The sequence below is a fragment of the Homo sapiens genome, chromosome 13 (genome assembly GCF_000001405.40).
Source record: "Homo sapiens chromosome 13, GRCh38.p14 Primary Assembly".
NCBI classification, from domain to species: Eukaryota; Metazoa; Chordata; class Mammalia; order Primates; family Hominidae; genus Homo; species Homo sapiens.
In genome coordinates, this window is record NC_000013.11 from 85,363,231 (window position 1) to 85,383,090 (window position 19,860).

Genomic DNA, 19,860 nt, shown 5'->3' on the forward strand with positions numbered 1-19,860 from the left:
CCCCGCGGGCCGGCACTCAGCGCCGCCGGCCGGCGGGCGCCTGCTGGGCTTGATTAGGGGACCAGCTCCCTCTGGGCTGCCGGACTGCCCAGGCTAGGTGCTGCAAAGTCCCTAGGCGAGTGCCACTGAAGGATGAAGCCAGCTGGGCTTCTCGGACCGGTGGGGACTTGGAGACCTTTTCTGTCTAGCTAAAGGAGTGTAAACGCAACAATCAGCACTCTGTGTCTAGCTAAAGGTTTGTAAACACACCAATCAGCACTCTGTCAAAACGAACCAGTCAGCTCTCTGTAAAATGGACCAATCAGCTCTCTGTAAAATGGCCCAATCAGTAGGATGTGGGTGGGACCAGATAAGGGAATAAAAGCGGGCCACCCCAGCCAGCAGAGTCAGCCTACTCAGATTTCCTATCCGTGATGTGGGAGCGTTGATTTTTTGCGTTTTTTTTTGCTCTTCAGGAATGAGTCTCGCTGTTGCTCATTCTGTGGATCCCTGCTGCGTTTATAAGCTGTAACGCTCAGCGCTAAGGTCTGCAGGTTCAGTCCTAAAACCAGTGAGACCAGCGACCCACCAGAAAAAACTAGCAACTGCAGACGCGACGCCTTTAAGAGCTGTAACACTCATCGCGAAGGTTTGCAGCTTCACTCCTGAAGCCAGGGAGACCACGAACTCACCAGAAGAAATAAACTCCGGACACATTTGAGCATCTGAAGGAACAAACTCCGAACACACCATCTTTTAAGAACTGTAACACTCACTGCGAGGGTCCAAGGGTCTGCAGCTTCATTTTTGAAGTCACCAAGACCAAGAACCACAAATTCTGGACACAACATCATTTCCTGTGGGATCATATTCTGGAATCACAGAGGTAATTTATTCCAACGCAAATCAGAATTGCAATCTATGTAACAATATTACCTACACTTTTAATTGTTCACCTCCCTTCTATTTGAGCACCTTTAGAGACAGGAACTCAGAATACTCACTCCACTTGCATATCACCATCTACATGCCGCTTACATGCTGAAAATTTTATATTTACCAATTGCCTACTCACTTGAATTTTTAATAGGTATCTCAAACTTGACGTGAGTAAAACTGGGCCCTGACCCTTTGTGTGTGTGTGTGTGTGTGGGTGGGTGGGTGGAGGGGGGGGTCAAAAAACAATATATTTTCCATTTTGTTTTGAAAATTCTGAAAAATCTAAAAAAGCTTAAAATATCTATAATCATGCTATTTTGAAAATCATAAAGAAGTAAAATTCTATTCCCCAACCCACTTTCTAGAGAAACGTTGAGTATCATGACACATTGTTTGGTGGAGAAATAACCAAAAAAAAAAAAAAAACTAATTTCTGGGAAGATCAGGTTTTACTGCAGAGGAAAAAGAATCTAGCTGGTTTAGAGAGAAACAGTTTTATCACTGGAGTATTACATAAGATTTTATGACTGTTGGGAGACTTGAAGAGGTGAACTCCAAGCTGCTCTTCCAGCAACAAATTCCCAAGCAGAGTGGGGTGGTGCCAGCTCCACAACCAGCTGATCTGTTATTGTCTTCATCAGCAAAGGGGTGGCTCACACCCTGACTGTCTTCCAGGTTATCTCAGTTTCTTTAAAAAAAAAAAAAAATTCAATAGGTTTTTGGGGAACAGGTGGTGTTTTGTTACATGGATATGTTCTTTAGTGGTGATTTCTGAGATTTTGGTGCACCCATCACTTGAGCAGTGTACGCTGTACCCAATGTGTAGTCTTTTCTCTCTCACCCCCATTTCACCCTTCCAAAGTCCGTTGTGTCATTCTTATGCCTTTGTGTCCTCAAAGCTTAGGCCCACTTACAAGTGAGTATATACAATGTTTGGTTTTCCATTTCTGAGTTACTTCACTTAGAATGATAGTCTCCAATTCCATCCAGGTTGTTACAAATGCCATTATTTTGCTCCTTTTTATGGCTGTGTAGTATTCCATGGTGTATATATATATATAGAGAGAGAGAGAGAGAGAGAGAGAGCATTTTCCTTATCCATGCATTGATTGATGGGCATTTGGGTTAATTCCATATTTTTTTCAATTGCTAATTGTGCTGCTATTAACACGTGTGCAAGTCCTTTTCATATTATGACTTATTTTCTTCTGGGTAGATACCCAATAGTGGGATTGCTGGATCGAATGGTAGATCTACTTTTAGTTCTTTTTGGAATCTCCACACTGTTTTCCATAGTGGTTGTAATATTATGATAAACATTAATTCTCACTACTCTAATTTGAAAGCAAAATTTGTTAGGTAGTTACTTCTACTTTTAAGACCCACATTATTTCTCTTCTGAATGTTTTAGGTTATGCTTCTTTAGAATACCACAGTCAATTTAATTCATAACTCTGACTCATAGTTGTATTAAAATTCTGCTGTCTTGTATATCTTTTTGTATATATATATATATGTGCATTTCATGCTCATGCTTATTAAATATAGAATTTAAAGAGTATTAGTTTTGTCCCAATCCAGAAAAAATTTGGATGATAACTTTGTTGAGAAATCAGTATTATTTTCTCTCAACGTATTGTTTTATTTTAATTTTATATCATCCTGATTTTCTTCAATGAAATAAACTGGGTAGTATTTTATATATCTAATATTTCATATCCCAAGTTCTGCTAACTTTGACTTCAGGATTAAGACTCTTAATTGCTCATGGATGTTTATCAAAATCAGATTAATCAAAAGATTTAGCAAATGTGCCTCGTTTTCTTGATTAAAAGCAATCAAATGCTGAATGTTTTCCAAGTAATCTAAGGGGGAAAAAAAGATCTAAATGACACCACATGCTTCCAATTGAAAATAGAGTAGAGTGCGTGACAGCTTCATTAAAGCCTTGTTATAAACCACTTTTAACAAAAACAACAAAAATCAACATACCCAACAAATCTGAACCGTGGGAAGAATACTACTGGATAACTTTGCCATTCTTTTCCTCCCTCTGGCTAAGTAACTTTATTCAATATTTTTATCTGGTAGCTAAATACTCTTATGTAATCAACAAGATGTCTAGAATTTTTCTTCTCTCGTAATGTTAGTCTTGAAGCAGTATCACTTCCCTTTAGTGAAGAAAAAGAGTATATTATACTGATTTTGTGAAATATTTTTGATTTAGTATAAAGAGCAACCATACTTTCACTGTCATGCAGTGTTCAAATAAAAATTATATATCTGGCGATGGTGATATACCTGTAAAAATTCAAACTTTCTCTTTAAAATAATCTATTGATAATGTTCCAGAAAAGTTAATCTAAGAGTTTAGCAATGATCAAAGTTTTTCAATTTTGCCAACTTCATTTCTATAAATCTATTGTAATTTTGTTGAGATTTTGTTTTGTTGTCACTACTGACAAATATAAAAATGGTACTATATGATATTCAGTTCTATCGGATGTTTATTTGTATTTATCAGATGTTTACTTTTTAATTCTACAGAAACATTTTCAAGGTAATTTATTGGAGAGTTATCTGAGAGAATTTTCATCAGATATTTATATGAACTGAGTCTATAATTCTTTTGTCTATCAAATTGATAATGCAGACTGGAAAATCCACTTAATAGAAATTGAGGCAATTTAGAATAAGAGAGGAAATTACAAAGAAAAGCTAATAATGGCACTGAAACAAAAAGAGAATTCAGAACATGATGGCTGGGAATGACCTAATCTTTACCCCGTCTCCTTCTGTTGTTTCTGTTGCGTGCCAGAGAGCTCATATTTAAGCTCAAGAAAAACAAAAATGAGAATGCCTAACAGGCTAAATTGTATTTTCTATGTGTGCATTTCCTACACAAAAGTATAGCATTTTATGATTTCCAACATATTTTATTAAAATGCATAATATATCTATTCACACGTAAATGTTCTTATAATGTCTATCACATTTAAGTGGAAATTTTTACATTTCCATCTAATTTTAGTTTCTTTAACTATAAAAGATTTACGCAGGCTCTGGTTATATGTGATTCATACACACAAGAATGTACACACACACATTTTTAAACATGTATAATGGCAGTGTATGCGTTAAAATTATATTGACAAAATATGAGTAGATTTCTGATGTATCTGTGAACTCTTCAGTACATCAAAAAGGAAATAAATTTCTTTACTTGCTGTTTTCTCTTTCTACTGTGTCTGTAAACATGCTGCATTTATTTCTCCCTTAAGTGGTATATTTACTTTCTGCAAGACCACGAGGCTCTATTTCCATGGTACACTTGAAAAAAAAAATTAGCCCAAATAATTTCAAACCAGAGTTTTTCAGTCTTCACATGATTCACCTACTCTACTTTTATACTCGCTTTCATGTAAAGATCTAAGTAATGTCAGATTTGGGGAGAGAGGCTTGGACAAATATATAAAATATGGCATGTGCTGCCTGCTATGAGAGACTACAAATTTTCTATCACTTGAGGTCAGTAGTAGAACTGAATATTATATGCAACATTTATGAATCAGATGTGAAAATATGGCCTGTATGGATTCTAAGGAACTTCACAAGTACACTTTTCTGAGTTAATTTACATATTTTTTATTACTTACATGTATATGATAGTGTTTTTATATAGTGCATGTTCTTATTTCCAGTTCATTGATATTCTCTTGTCCTCTTTATTACTTGGCAGATCATAGTGCTGATAAGCAACTGAAAAGGATTAAATTCTAACATCTCTTGTAGTGTGCTTGCATCTAAATGAATGCACCACAAATATTTGTGGTCTTCTCAACTGTCAGCACCAGAATAGTCATGTGTGCTATTGATGGTTCTAGTTATCTCTTGTTACATAACAAACTGTCACAAAACTGTATCTTAAAGCAAAAAATATTACTTCTTTCAAATTTGTAGATTGAGCTCAGTTGACTTCTTGATTGTGGTTTTCTATGTGGTTTTAGTCAGATAATGGCTAGCATTGTAGATATCTCAAGATTTCTTTACTTACGTGTCTGATGTTTGGGTTGGAATGACAAGAATAGCTGTAGGCCGAGGAAGCTTTTTTGTCTTTAGGCAGCCCCTTCCTGTGGGCTTTCTCAAAACATGGCAATCTCAAAGCTATTGGACATCTTGCATGGTGGCCAGCTTTCCCCAGAGTGAAGTTTCCAAAAGACTAAAGCAAGAGCCAACAATTTTTCCTATAATCTTATAACCAGAAAAATCAGTGCCACTTTTGCTGCACTCTATTATAGGGCCAGCCTAGATCTAAAGAGGGAGGAAAGGGAATTTACAAGGAAATGAACGCTAGGAAGTGTGGTTCACTGGGTAGGAAGGATTGTCTTCTAGATTAACTACCACAATGTTAACCAAATCAAGAAAATTTTTAAAAATCTGATTTTTAAAAATAATTGTTACTAGAAAGATCAATCCAACAAAATTTAAATAATTATCTTGAGATTTCATTTACCTGCATTGCAGTGGGTGTTGAAATGTAATTATGTGTGAAAAATTTATCTATTGATTTACTTATTTTGCTATAAACACATTCTGCTAGATCAATGAAGTTCCCATTAAAATATGATGTTTCTCAGTAGTCACAATAAATCTGCTTCACAGTGTTAAGACAGCTAGCTGATGACTTTCAGCTCTTTATCGACTGTATGACAGAGAACTCTGGGACATCAGTCAATCATTTGCCAAGAGAATGTAAAATGTACAGAGCTATTTTCCCTGAAAATATGATAATTTTCCCCATGAAATTCCTGTGGACTCCTTATGAGATTCAGGATAATCCTCAATTTGTGCAAACTTACTTAGATTTCAGTACAAACTTTGGTCTTATTTCTAATATTTATTGTTCTTTTTTAAATCAACAATATAAAATCATTGTATCCCACTCGAGATCATTCAGTCTAAATTTTAGCATTAACTACCTCTTGACAAAAGAATAGTTTTAAAACTTGATGATTAGAGAACATTTCTAAAGGAAATCATAACTATACTGAAATTATTTTACCACTGACAGTCACTGATAATCATTTTTTGGGTTGGTCATTTTTGCCTGTGTCTGCAAGAGGAATATTGATCAGGTTCCCTCTGCTCTAATTTGACCCAAATAAGATTAAACACCTAACTGCATGGCGTATTTTGCCAATGGAACTACATTCTGGGATAGGGCCAAGCCCATTCAGCAATATTAATTGATGCATTACTTCTAGGTCAGATAGACTTTCTAGAATATTTCAATCCATATTAAATTCCTCCTCACACATCTTAAGGATCAATTTGTGTGTAATTCTCGAGGATGATAATGTTTTATTCACTTGATAAAAATAGATGATTGTGTCTAGATTATTTATCTATCCATACTTAGAGATGTTACATTCATCGAGTTTTACTAAAATTATTACTGTCCCAAACTTTTAAGCTCTTGTTTGGGAAGTATGTCATCCAGATTTTGTAACACCCAGGTGTTTTACACATTTCAAGTTCAGATTATTCAACTAATCATTTTAAATACAGCTTTTAGACTCATATGCCAGAAAACCAAAAGTGATATTATTATGATTTTTCAATTTTCTTTATTTATGCTAACCAGATTATTAAAAAGACTCAATAATCGGTAGTTTAATCACTGTACCTTAGTACTCATGCAAAACAAAGATGGTAAAAATAATCTTATTGAGGCTTCAAAAGGTTTTTTTGGTCAATATTAAATTTTCTTTAGGTGCACATTCTTTTTTACTTATTAAGTATCTGACACCATTGTTAAATAAGTGGCATAGAAACAATCACACTCACGTTTGGGAAAAAAAGACTTTAGAGTAAATTGTGTATTTTCTGTCAAAACGGGCAAATGATGCTACTAAAGAATCACTATAAAGAAATAATCTAAAATTAATTATTTTAGAAGTGAATATTTTGGATAGATATGTTGCAACTATGAGATACTTTTTAAAATGATAAACATATAACCTATTTCATTTTTTTTACAGGTAATATCCTATAATTCATGAATTTCAAGTATATAATTCAGTTTTTAGGTAAATTTACCAAGCAGTGCAAACATTAAAATAAATCCATTTTCAAACATTTCTATCATCCAGTAAAATCCATCCAGCCTACTTATTGTCAATCTCTTCCCACCTCCCTCAACTCTCACCCCAGGTAACCACTATTTTCCTTTCTGTCTCTATAGATTCCAGATTTCATGTCATTTCTTATAAATGGTACAACAAAATAGATGGTCATTTTTGCCTGACTTTTTAATTTACATAATATTTTTCAAGTTTATTCATACTTATTATGAATAATGCTACTGAGAGCATTAGTGTACAGTTCTCATGTGAATATGTTGGGTATTCACATACCCAAAGAAAATTAAATTGATACACCATATAGTAAAACTAGGTTTAACTTTCTAGGAAACTATCAAACTGTTTTCTAACATAGTCATTTAGTGTGTGTAAAATAGTATATCGTTGTGGTTTTAATGTTGTTGACTATCTTTTCATGTAGTTATTAACCATTAGCACATCCTGTGTAATCCTTTTGAGAATATTTTGTCTTTGGAGGTCACAGCTGACAGCAGTAACTAAACCATTTTTTTAATAGAATGATTTATTAAGACTATTTTGAAAAAGACTGTGTGAGAATCCTCATGTCATAATTGGTGTTGGGATGGGCTTAAAAGTATAAAACTAAAATTGCAGTGCTTTGCTTGAGGATGTTCTTATGCAATCTGAATTTCATGCAAAATAATTATCTGGGGATTATTATGATGCATTCAGCATATAGTGTCTTAGCTCAACTCAGACTTAAGTGAGTAAATGACTTCTCAGGTAGATTTGCTAGTTAGGCTTGTCATTAATAAAATCATGTTAACCCTGTTCTTAACTGGATCCTTAAGCCATGTGGTTTCTATGCAATTGGCTGTGTAACAATAGTTTTCTAGGTATTTCTTTAGGCATTGACTCTAACCATCAGTCTTGAAGTAATAATTACTCAATATTTGTCAAAATATCACTTAAGACCTCTACTTCTAGAAATATGATGGTTGAGATAATATGAAAATCCACCTGCTGTATCACATACAGGATAAATGTCAATAAAAATAATTTTATATGCCCAGAAGATCTTGTAAAGCAAGAGAAAACTCCAAATACTACTCAGCCCCCACCCCTCAAAAAAAAAAAAAAAAAAAAGAGTAGCAAGAATGTGACTTCAGAGTAGAATAGCAAACAAACATGGACTCTGGAATGTACAGCACTTTTGAACCTTGGTTTGAGCCCATGTCAGTGGACAACAAACCTGAACCTACAAAAAAAATTGTATATTCTCAATAGGTGAATAGGTAGACTAGAACAAAATTCAACTTGCTAGGCATGGTAAGGGCTTTATAAAGAAAAGTGTCTGCCTGTACCATAACCTAGGAAAAGAATTATTAATAATAACAAGCTAATAATAACAGCAATAACAAAAAAAGCCTGACTTTAAGTTGTCTTGAGGTTTGAATTTTTATTATTTGGATGATCATGGAAAATGGAAATCACAAGTTAGGAAAATATTTAAAGCTTGATAGTGTCTCTGACACCCAGAAGAAGCAAATACACAATTTCTCTAGAGAAATCATGTTCTACTGAGGCTATTAAGGATTTCCACAGCAAATATTTAGCCAATTATTAGCTACCAATAAAAAAAGTACAAGTTACATTAGCAAGATACTGTCATAAAAATGACAATATCCCTCACGGATTTGGTATTCTGGAATTATGAAATACAGAATAAAAGGAAACGCTTAATATATCCCCCACAAATTTTTTAATGAAACAACATAGCAATAGCAAGAAACCATTAAAAATAGGTTAAAACAAGGCACTTAAAAACACCAAGTAGGACACCTATCTGGATTCTAAAGGTAAGCCATTCTTTCCCATGTTGTCCCCACATGCTAGACTGCTCTGCATCTCATCTCAGTTTCTTTTTTTTTTCCTGCTTTATTTGGCGCCGGGGAGACTTACCTACTCTCTTAAAAGTTTAGCTGAGCATGTAAAATTATATTTATTATGATTTATAAAGCATCCGGGTGATATAGTGCAATAGTTTAGATGTTCATCTCTCCAAACTTTATTTAAATTTGATCCCCAAGTTGGAGGTGGGGCCTAATGGGAGGTGTTTGGGTCATGGGGGCAGATCCTTCATGAATAGAACCCTGCTCTCTGGGACAGAGTTGGAGTGAGTGAGTTCTCATTCTGTTCTCATGAGGGCTGGTTGTTAAAAAGAGCCTGGTGGCCGGGCACAGTGGCTCACACCTGTAATCCCGGTACTTTGGCCCAAGTGGATAGATCACTTGAGGTCAGGAGTTACAGATCAGCCTGGCCCACATGGTGAAACACTGTCTCTACTAAAAATACAAAAAAAAAAAAAAAAAAAAAATTTGGCAGGCATGGTGGCAGGCACCTGTAATCACACCTACTCAGGATGCTGAGGCAGGAGAATTGCTGGAGCCCGGGAGGCAGAGGTTGCAGTGAGCCGAGATCATGCCACTGCATCCTGGTACCTAATTCCCCTCCTCCTCTTGTTTCCTCTCTCACCATGTGATCTCTACACACAAGCTCCCCTCTGCCTTCTGCCATAATTGGAAGTAGCTTGAGGCCCTCATCAAAAGCACACGTCAGCACTATGCTTCTTGTACAGCCTACAGAAGTGCATCAAATAAACCTCTATTCTTTATAAATTACCCAGCCCGAGATGTTTCTTTATAGCAATACAAATGGACGAAGACTTACAGCAAGAGGATTTTTAAGAATATTTCATTTTTAATATTCCTGGAGATAAAAGTGTCAAGTAATATTTTGACAGAGAGTAATCTTTACAATACCTTTTAAGAAAGCAGTTTAATGCATTTGTCTTCGACATTGATAAAAATAAAATTTGTTTTATCTTGCATACTGTGTAATTGCTAAATGCTCCTCTCATTTTGATGTTTTCTAATCATATAATTTTTGATTTTCCACAAACCCTACGTAGATTCTATTATTTGTGAAAAAGATTATTTTATTCTACCTTTCCTTTCTTATTTCTTTTATCTGATTTAAGTTTTTAGAAGTACAGTCACTTTAGAAATATGTATGTTACAATCTATTGAAGCTGAATTTGTTCATATCCTGTAATACAACAATTCCATCTCTAGTATTGACCCAAGGGAATGCATAAACAACTTCTACCAATGTCATGTACTAGAAAAGTACACAATTTGTCTGAAAACCACTGCCAACCGGTAAAGATTGTTAGCAGTCTGAGAAGAGATAAGAACAGACATTTCTGTAGCATGTTTACATTGCGACTTATCCAGTGTAGGCATGTCCAGTGAACTAAACGATGTACTTATTGATCTAGTAAAAGTTTAGAGTTACATAACATCTAGTGCATTAAATTCTAGAATGTTCTGTCCTGCTAATTAACTGTGGCTTTCTCCCTTTGAATTTATAATTGTAACATATACACTTTCCTTTATGTATCTTGAACTTCAATAAAAAGGGTTTAAAAGTCATTCAATTCTACAACTTCAAACAATATAATTAGAAACATGCCTAACAGAAAACGTGTGAAATGTCCATGGAAAAATATACATTCTTAGTGAAATGCATTTTGAAGGACCTAAATAAATGGATAAATACAAAATATTAAAAGTCAGAATAATATGTTTATTCTATTCAAAATTATAATCAAATGTAATGAAATTATAAATTACATTTGAAAGATATTTTTATGGAATTTAATTTTAAATTTTATATTGAAATAGGAGTAAAATAAGCAATGTACACCTGAAGAAAAACTGTATAAGAAATTGTCCTACTGGAAAAAAACCTGAAATGTCGGGCGTGGTGGCTCACTCCTATAATTCCAGCACTTTGGGAGACCTGAGATCAGGAGTTCTAGACCAGCTTGGCCAAGACGGTGAAACCCCATCTCTACTAAAAATACAAAAATTTGCCGGGTGTGGTGGCATGCGCCTGTAGTCCCAGCTACTTGGGAGGCTGAGACAGGAGAATCACTCGATCCTGGGAGGTGGATGTTGCAGTGAGCCAAGATCATGCCACTGCACTCCAGCCTGGGCAACAGAGTGAGACTCCATCATACAAACAAACAAAACTATTAAGGACAAATTTTAAGACAGTGTGATATCAATGCAGAAGCCAGACCTAGAAACTGACCTACATATATATTAAAACCTTGATATATTACAGGGTAATATAAAGTGATATATTGCTTATGTATTATAATTTCAGTGAGGACCAGATCACCTGAAAATTGTGTCCTGACAATTTCTTATTTATACGAAAAAAACGTTTCTTAGCATTATTTAATATTTAAAAGGCTCCAATAGAAAACATGCATTTATGCTTTGGAAGGAAATACAAGAATGTACATTTATTTCATCAGCAAAAACAATTTATTTTTTTGTTTTTGTTTTTGAGACTGGGTCTTGATCTGTTGCCCCAGCTGGATTGCAATGCTGTGATCATAGCTCACTGCAGACTCTAATTACTGAGATTAATCAATCCTTCTGCCTCAGCCTCCCAAGTAACTGGGCAGAAGCCACTACACCTGGCTAAGAACAGTGTTTTAACAAAGATAAAACCAAGCTCTGCCTTAAAGAAGCATGGAAAAGTCAAATATATTAAAATTAATATATTATTTTTTAAACCAAAGAAAATACCTGGAAGTGCATATACAAAGTGAATATAATGAACAAATGATTATTTTTTTACCACATATTAATTAGGAGATTGAGGGCTAAGCAGTGAGAACAAATAAGAATTAACATTCAGATGAGTACTACATTGAAAGTTGTATTTCTTTTCTTACAGTGCAAACAGAGTGACCTTGGTTAGTGGTGGCAGTATATGTGTGTGGGGGAGTATGTATGTATGTGTCAGGGACAGGTGAGAGAAGGTAGGAAGAGGGTTTGTTTGACACAATCATTTAGGGAAGAATCATTAACTTTCTTTTCCAAGTTTGTGCTTTGGTCCCCATCCCAATCTTCAGAAAGGGAAAGCATTGAGTAAGACTGTATTGAAAGGTTGTTTTGTATCTGTCCTGGATGTGACACACGTAATTTCCACTCATATTCCATTGGCTGGGACTCAGCAGCATGATATACTCCATCATAAAATGAGACTGAGAAGTGTAACCCGGAATGTCCCAAGATAAAAAATAAGAATAAAATTTTGGTAACAGCTATCAGATCTTCTCACAATATGCAAACAACTCACATAGTCAATAGAAATGGTGAAATATACCCTATTTCAAAAGTAGCTGAAAATCCATACACATATTTTAAAGAAATGCAACAGAACTGTGACTAAATGCAACATTATAAATAAATAAGGATACACAAAACCAAACCAAAATAAAAAATATTTTACCCATTGTGGTCAAAAATTAAAATGAATACAAAAGCCAGGTGAAGGCGCATAGCTAGTTATATTGTAAATTACACTGTAAATTAGTACACCCAATTGTGAGTTGGTTCAGACAGTTAGGGAATAATTTGGCAATATCTGATAAAAGACAAGATTCACATACTCTATTACTCAACAATTTTGTTCCTTTACATAAATTCCTAAAAATTCTTTCACATGCACACCAGAAGAAATATATCAAAATATTTAGAGTAATAGCATTCAGAAAAGTGATCATCTAGAAATAATTCAAATGTTCACTAACAAAAAAATGGATACATATATTATGGCTCATTCATAGAATAAATGCCTGCAACAACTGTGAAATAAACTAATGATACTGATAGCAACATAGATGAATTCAAAAACATAAAATTGAATTAAAAAGGACAAAATCATAGAAAATTATTTATCATAGGATATTTTGTATAGTTTAAAATTCAAACTAAAAAATGCATTGTCAAACTAAAACATATTTTATATGTGTGCATATATATATAATTTCAATTAAAACCAATAAATGTTGAACACAGAAGAACAGAGGTTATCCACACTGAAAAGACAGAAGAATGTCATCTGAAAGATGATCATATTTGGGTTTTTTCCTTGCTTTAAACTGAGTTGCAGATCTAGACCATTTATTTATTTTGTTTAAAAATTATATAGATTCAATATAATATATTTTTTCTTTTATATAAGTGATACTTCTTACAATAAAATATTTAAAATTGATTAAGATCAGCAAGACAGTTTATCAATCCACTCCTCCTGATTTTCAAAATTATATCACCAAATAAAACCAGATCAGCTGAGAGATATGTAACCACCCATATAGTTTCTGATGTTCTACTTTAAATTTATTTTACTCTTCTGTTGCCCTTTTCTATTTTTATAGAATACTTAAGTGCTATATTCACAGATTTACCCTTACAGATGTCCTGATTTCATTTTATCAATTTTCTATCTTGTAATATTTTATATTTTATATACTTAATATAGTTTCTGCATATACTTCTGTATAATAGGAATTTTGCATATGTTTTATGTAAGTAGCAATTCCAAAAATATGACTATAATACTATATTCTAATTTTATGATAATTTTAAGCATTATGCTTTTATATTCCTAAGAGCAGTTTAATAAAGAACATCCATGAAATTAATTAAGCAATGCTACTTAAAAACTGGTGAACACAATTTTTCAATATGCAAAAATTTAACAGTTCTATTCATGCCCAGTGAAGTTTCTGCTAAAATCGTATCCTTGTTTACTTCATTCCCAGACAGCGTAAATGATTTAGTTAGGAGAAGCAAGAATTCAGAAAGGAAGCAAGAAACCAGGAGTCAAAAAGCAATTAGCAGAAGCTGACAGTGTGGCTGAACTTAATAAAACACTAATAATTGTCTCTCTAATTCTTAAAGGAAAAATTTGAAGCCATTCACTGCTGAAAATTATATTTGAAAATAAAACATTCTGTCAGTCTTTAATGATCTGAGATCTATTCTTAATTCTTTGTGATACTCTTTTTTTTTTTTTTTTTTTTTTTGAGACTGAGTCTCACTCTGTTCCCCAGGCTGGAGTGCAAGCTCCACCTCCCGGGTTCACACCACTGTCCTGCCTCAGCCTCCCGAGTAGCTGGAACTACAGGCGTCTGCCACCATGTCCAGCTAATTTTTTGTGTTTTTAGTAGAGACGGGGTTTCACCGTGTTAGCCAGAATGGTCTCAATCTCCTGACCTTGTGACCCACCTGCCTCGGCCTCCCAAAGTGCTGGGATTACAGGCGTGAGCCAGCATGCCAGGCCATTTCTTTCTAATAATTTTAAATGAGATATGTAATCATAAGGCCTAGTATTGTTATTTTCATTCCGTATTCACAATAGCTGTATACTGTCTGATAAATCTTGTTATCTCCAATGATACGTTGCAGAGTCATGCAGTTATTGTGGAAAACAAACCCTTAAATCATATAATGTGTGTGTGTGTCTCACCAGAATTATTTTATAAGTTTAGAAAATCAAATCATGTAAAATATGGATATATATTATATGATATATATGATACTAGTCAATGGGAATTAAACTCTGGAATTAAATTCCTTGAGTCAATGATAGTAAAATATGTAGGAAGATCATGTGTCTAACTATTCTTTGTGAAATAACATGACATTGAGATCTATAGACCCAGCCAACACAATAGACTCAGTGGCTCAACGGAACCTGCCATACTTCTGAGTTGAGGTCTAGTTCAGACCATTCACCTACAGCAGGCCTTGAGGATAGCATGAGAATCTGCACAGAGCTGTCCAACATAAGACTCAGACATTTCCACAAGGCCATTACACATTTCTCAAATATGCACCAGGTGTGTCATGATGGTAAACATAGGAGGAGAAGAAATCTGAAAAGGAACACGTGTCTAAGAAAAACTGGATCATTTGAACATAGGTTTGCAAACTTATGTTCAAAAGAATCTAAAATGGTATTAATTCACAATGGTATGCTCCCCTAAACTTGTTAATTTAGATCCATGCTAGAACTTGAAGAGGAACTTTTTTATTTTTTATATTTTTGAATTGTGCTATCATGAATATTTTATCCTGCTATACTAGGAAAGGTAATTCTTATTATTAGTGAATAATAAATATTTTTAAATTAGATTAAGAAAAGTTAATGAAAAGAGCTCTTGAATAGAAACTATAAATTCTTTTTTTCTGATTCACAAGTAATCTTGTGAAAAATGACGATGGCTGTCTACTAGATTTCAGATATCCTGTGAAAATTAGAAAAGAATATTCACTTTCTGGGTGGCTCAAAGTAAAGGTAGTACATAAAGAATGAGGATAGTACTCATAAATCCATTTTATATCTATTTATAATGACATGTTGATAAATTGGCTATATTTTCAGAATTATTAACCCAAGAACATTTTGCAGCCTATTTATGGAGAAGACACATTAAATCTCTACTACCAGCTGCAAACATTTTCTTCTCCTAGGAACACTTCCCATTTTCTAAATTGTCTTGGTTAGTGTATTTTTTTTCTCTCATGTCATGGAGAATTAGCAGATGACCTTATATTCTACTTTTCAAAGAAAATAGAAACCATATGAAGTGATCTCTCTCAAGAACACTTATTTCTACTTTATTACCTCCATTCCTTTCTCCATCCAGTGTAACTGAACTTCCACAGCTCCTACTCCAATGAAAGTGCTAGATACATTGATCAAGAAAAATATATGGAAACCACAAACTCTTCTTTGCTCTGTGATTTTGGATTGCATAAGTCAATCCTTTTTCTCCCATGGCTTCTGAGACAATACTGTCTACCTTTTGGCCTTTACACTTTACAAAACAGGTACACCTCATTTCATTGAGATTAACTTTATTGCCCTTCATAGATACTGCAATTTCTTACAAACTGAAGGTTTGCAGCAACTGTGCATCCAACAAGTCTGTTTGCACTATTTTTTAAAACATCATATGCTCACTTTGTGTCTCTGTGTCACATTTTGGTAATTCTCACAATATTTCAAATTTTTAAATTATTTTTACATCTCTTAACCTCTTTACATCTCTAATCTATGATAATTAATATTACCATTGTAATTGTATAAGACAACTTAATTGATAAATGTATATCTTCTGACTGTTCCAGCAGTCATTCTCCCATCTGTCTTCCTCTCTTTTTGCTTCACTATTCCCTGAGACATGACAATAATGAAATTAGGCCAGTTAATAACCCTACGATGGCCTGTATGTGTTCAGGTTAAAAAAAGAGTCACATGTCTCTAAATTGACATAAAAAGCTAGAAATGATTAAGCTTAGAGAGAAAGGTACATTGAAAGTGGGGAAAGGCCAAAAGCTAGGTCTCTTGCATGAAACATTTAGCAAAGTTGTGAATGCAAATGAAAAGTTCTAGAAGGAAATTAAAAATGCTACTCCAGGGAACACGTGAACGAGAAATGAAAGTGAAACAACCTAATTGCTGATATGGAGAAATTTTAGTGGTCTGGATATATCAAACCAGCTCCAACGTTCTCTTAAGCCAAAGGCTGATCCAGAGCAAGGCCCTAACAGTCTTCAATTCTTGAAGGCTGAGAGATGTGAGAAAAGTTTAAAGCTAGCAGAAGTTCATTAATGAAATATAAGGAAAGGAGCTGTCTCCATAACGTAAAAATACAAGGTAAAGTAGCAAGTGCTGATGCAGAAAGTGCAGCAAGTTATCCTGAAGATCTAGTCAGTATAATTTATGATGGAAGCTAACCTAAGCAAAATATTTTCAATGTAATTGAAACAGCATTATACTGGAAGATATCATCCAGGACTTTTCTACCTAAGGAAGAAAAGTCAATGCCTGAATTTCCAGCTTCAGAAGACAGGTTTCCTCTCTTGTTAGGGGATAATGCAACTGGCAATTTTAAGTTGAAGCCAGTGTTTGCTTACCATTTGGATAATCTTAGGCCCCTTAAGAATTGTGCTAAATCCGTTCTGCCTGTGCTGTGTAAATGGAACAGCAAAGCCTGCATGACACCACATCTGTTTTAAGGCATAGTTTTTTTGAATATTTTAATCCCACTGATGAGACCTCAGAAAAAGAAAAAAGAAAAAAAAAGATTTCTTTAAAGATATTACTGCTCATTGAAAATGCACCTGGTCAACCAAGAGCTCTGATAGAGATGTACAAGGGATTAATGTTGTTTTCATTCCTGCTAACACAATATCCATTCTTCAGCCCATGGATCAAGAAGTCATTTTGACTTTCAAGCCTTGTTATTTAAGAAATACATTTTGTAAGGCTCTAGTTGCCATAGAGAGTGATTTACCTGATGAATCTGAGCAAAGTAAATAGCCTTCTGTGTAGGATTCACCAGTCTTGATGCCATTAAGAACATTTGCAATTATTCACAGAAGGAGGTCCAAATGTCAGTATTAACAGGAGTTAGGAAGAGGTTGATTCCAACCTCATGGATGATTTTGAGGGATTTTAGACTTCAGTGAAGTCACTGTGGATGTGGTAGAAATAGCAAGATAACTGGAATTAGAAGTGGGCTTGATGCTGTCACTGAGTTCCTGCAATCTCATGTTAAAACTTGAAAAGATGAGCTGCTTTTTAAGGATGAGCAAATAAAGCAGTTTCTTGCAACAGAATCTGCTTTTAATGAAGATGCTGTGAACATTGTTGAATTGACAATAAAAGATTTAGAATATTATATAAACTTAGTTAATAAAGCAGCAGCAGGGTTTGGAAGGGTTGATTAATTTTTAAAGAAGTTCTACTGTGGGTAAAATGCTACCAAACAGTATGCTATGAGAAATCTTTCAAGAAAGAAAAGAGTTAATCTATGGGGCAAAGTTTATTATTATCTTATTTTAAGAAACTGAAAAGCTATTCTACGTTTCAGCAAACACCAGCCTAATCAGTCAGCATCCGCCAATGGAAGGCAAGACCCTCCATCAGAAAAAAAAAAAATTACTTTTTGAAGACTCAGGTGGTTAATAGCATTTTTTAGCAATAAAGCATTTTAAGCTTAAGGTATGTATATTTTCAGACATAATGCTATTACTCACCTAATAGACTATGGTATAGTGTCCACATAACTTTTATATGCACTGGGAAACCAAAAACTTCTGTGATTCACTTTATTGCAATATTTACTTTAATGCAGTGGTCTAGAACCAAATCCACAGTATCTTCAATATACGCCTGTCTTCATTTTCTCTAGTTTTCTGCCAGCATTCCCTTTCTTCTCTTTCTGTTTATTTGTCAATGAGCTTTCATTATGTAATTTTGCATCTATCTGTGATGAATTTCTAATCTACACTTACCAAATCTCTTCCCAGTCTCCAGATTGATATGTGCAATTGCTTGTTTGATGTTTTCATTGGGTTATCTCACACAGACATTTCAAAGATCTCTGAATCTCTGATCATTACTTATTATGCAAATTGGCTTTTCTCCTTTACCTTGGTAAATATATCTACAGACCTCATTCTTAGAGTTCCCTCTTTCAGACTCTCACATCCATTATAATCAAGTCCTACAAATGATAGCTTCTAAATAGCCTATAGTATATTCTTACTGCTCTGTCTCCATTTCGCTCTATTAATTGAGTAGCTAACATTACCATTTATAACTGATGACTATGATGATAATTATTACAATGATCCACAATATAATTTTTACTCTTGTAAGTAATGTTATTAGGTATCCATTTTACTTGTATGCACACTATCTTTCAGACAGTTTAAGCCACTTACCCATAATCTCATAGGCTCTAGTACCCATGCTTTGTAACTAATCTCTTTAGACACCAGTTTATCTGCATATAGGCCATCTTTCACAATAAATCCACAATTATTTGCTTACTAAAAAACAGATCTGTATTCTACACTTTTAGAACTTTTTTGCATTTGAGGCAAATCTACAATTAAAATTTATGTTTCACAATGGCATAAAAAAACTCTCAGACCTACCTAGGAGGTCCTATGCTCACATAGTTTCTCTCAGAAACACAAAGTTTCAGCCCCTTCAAACATCTGACCTTTCCCCCGTATTCTTTGTCCCATTTATACCTTCTTCTATTTGAAATCTAGTTCTTTCATTGAAATTCACTTTACCTCCTTTCTCCCTCTCTAAATTAATAACTCATATTCGTTAAACTGTAAACCATTCCTTAACAGCATTAGTAAAAATTAGCATTTTTAAGGTTAATTTATTTGTTCACAGAGTAAATTTGGGGAGCCACAACATTGTGCCAGTGACAGTGACAGGGCATTGGGGGATATGACTGAAAAATCTCTGTCCACACAGAAGCTACAATCTAGTATTTCCTGATATTTTGTTGTGCTTAAGATATAGCAGATATTATGCCAACTTATTTAATATATCATTTAACCTTTCAGGAAAATATATGAAAAAATTATTAATAATTACTATCCCTATTTTACAATTAAAAACCCGAGACAGGCAGTATGTGACAAACTCAAAGTAATTGCCTCTCTTTTAGTCATTAAATTATGACTATTTAATAAAAACATTACAAATATAGTTGAGTACCACTTAAAAGTTCAAACTCAAGATGAAGATGTTTGCAAGTGGCATTTACAAAGACTAGGAAAAACTTTTTTGCATGTTGATAATAAGATAATTTGGTATGCCGGAGAGCATGAAGAAGTTCCCAACTTTCACATAGTTCAATTAATTAAACCTTAATGACTTCAAAGATCTGGACCTCTTGAACTCAAAGAAGCCCACAGCCTAGCGAGGGAGAAATATATATGAAAAAAACAGGCAAGCAAATAAATAAATTGCAATGTAAAAATGCTGACTCTACTACTCTGTATAATGTATAATGGACACCAAGAAGAAAGTAACATAAATTCTCACAACTAGGTCAGGAAACATTGTATAGAACAAGTGTCTTTAC

At 34.1% G+C, this 19,860-nt stretch overlaps 1 long non-coding RNA gene across 1 annotated transcript in view; it reads left to right on the top strand.

The window, feature by feature from the left end:
• The first annotated feature begins 372 nt into the window (after positions 1 to 372).
• The window catches only part of LINC00351 (long intergenic non-protein coding RNA 351), a 181,060-nt gene continuing 161,572 nt past the window's right edge, over positions 373 to 19,860 (top strand). Inside the window, exon 1 of the long non-coding RNA NR_046989.1 lies at positions 373 to 865. This is a non-coding gene — a long non-coding RNA (long intergenic non-protein coding RNA 351). The remainder of the gene's footprint in view (positions 866 to 19,860) is intronic.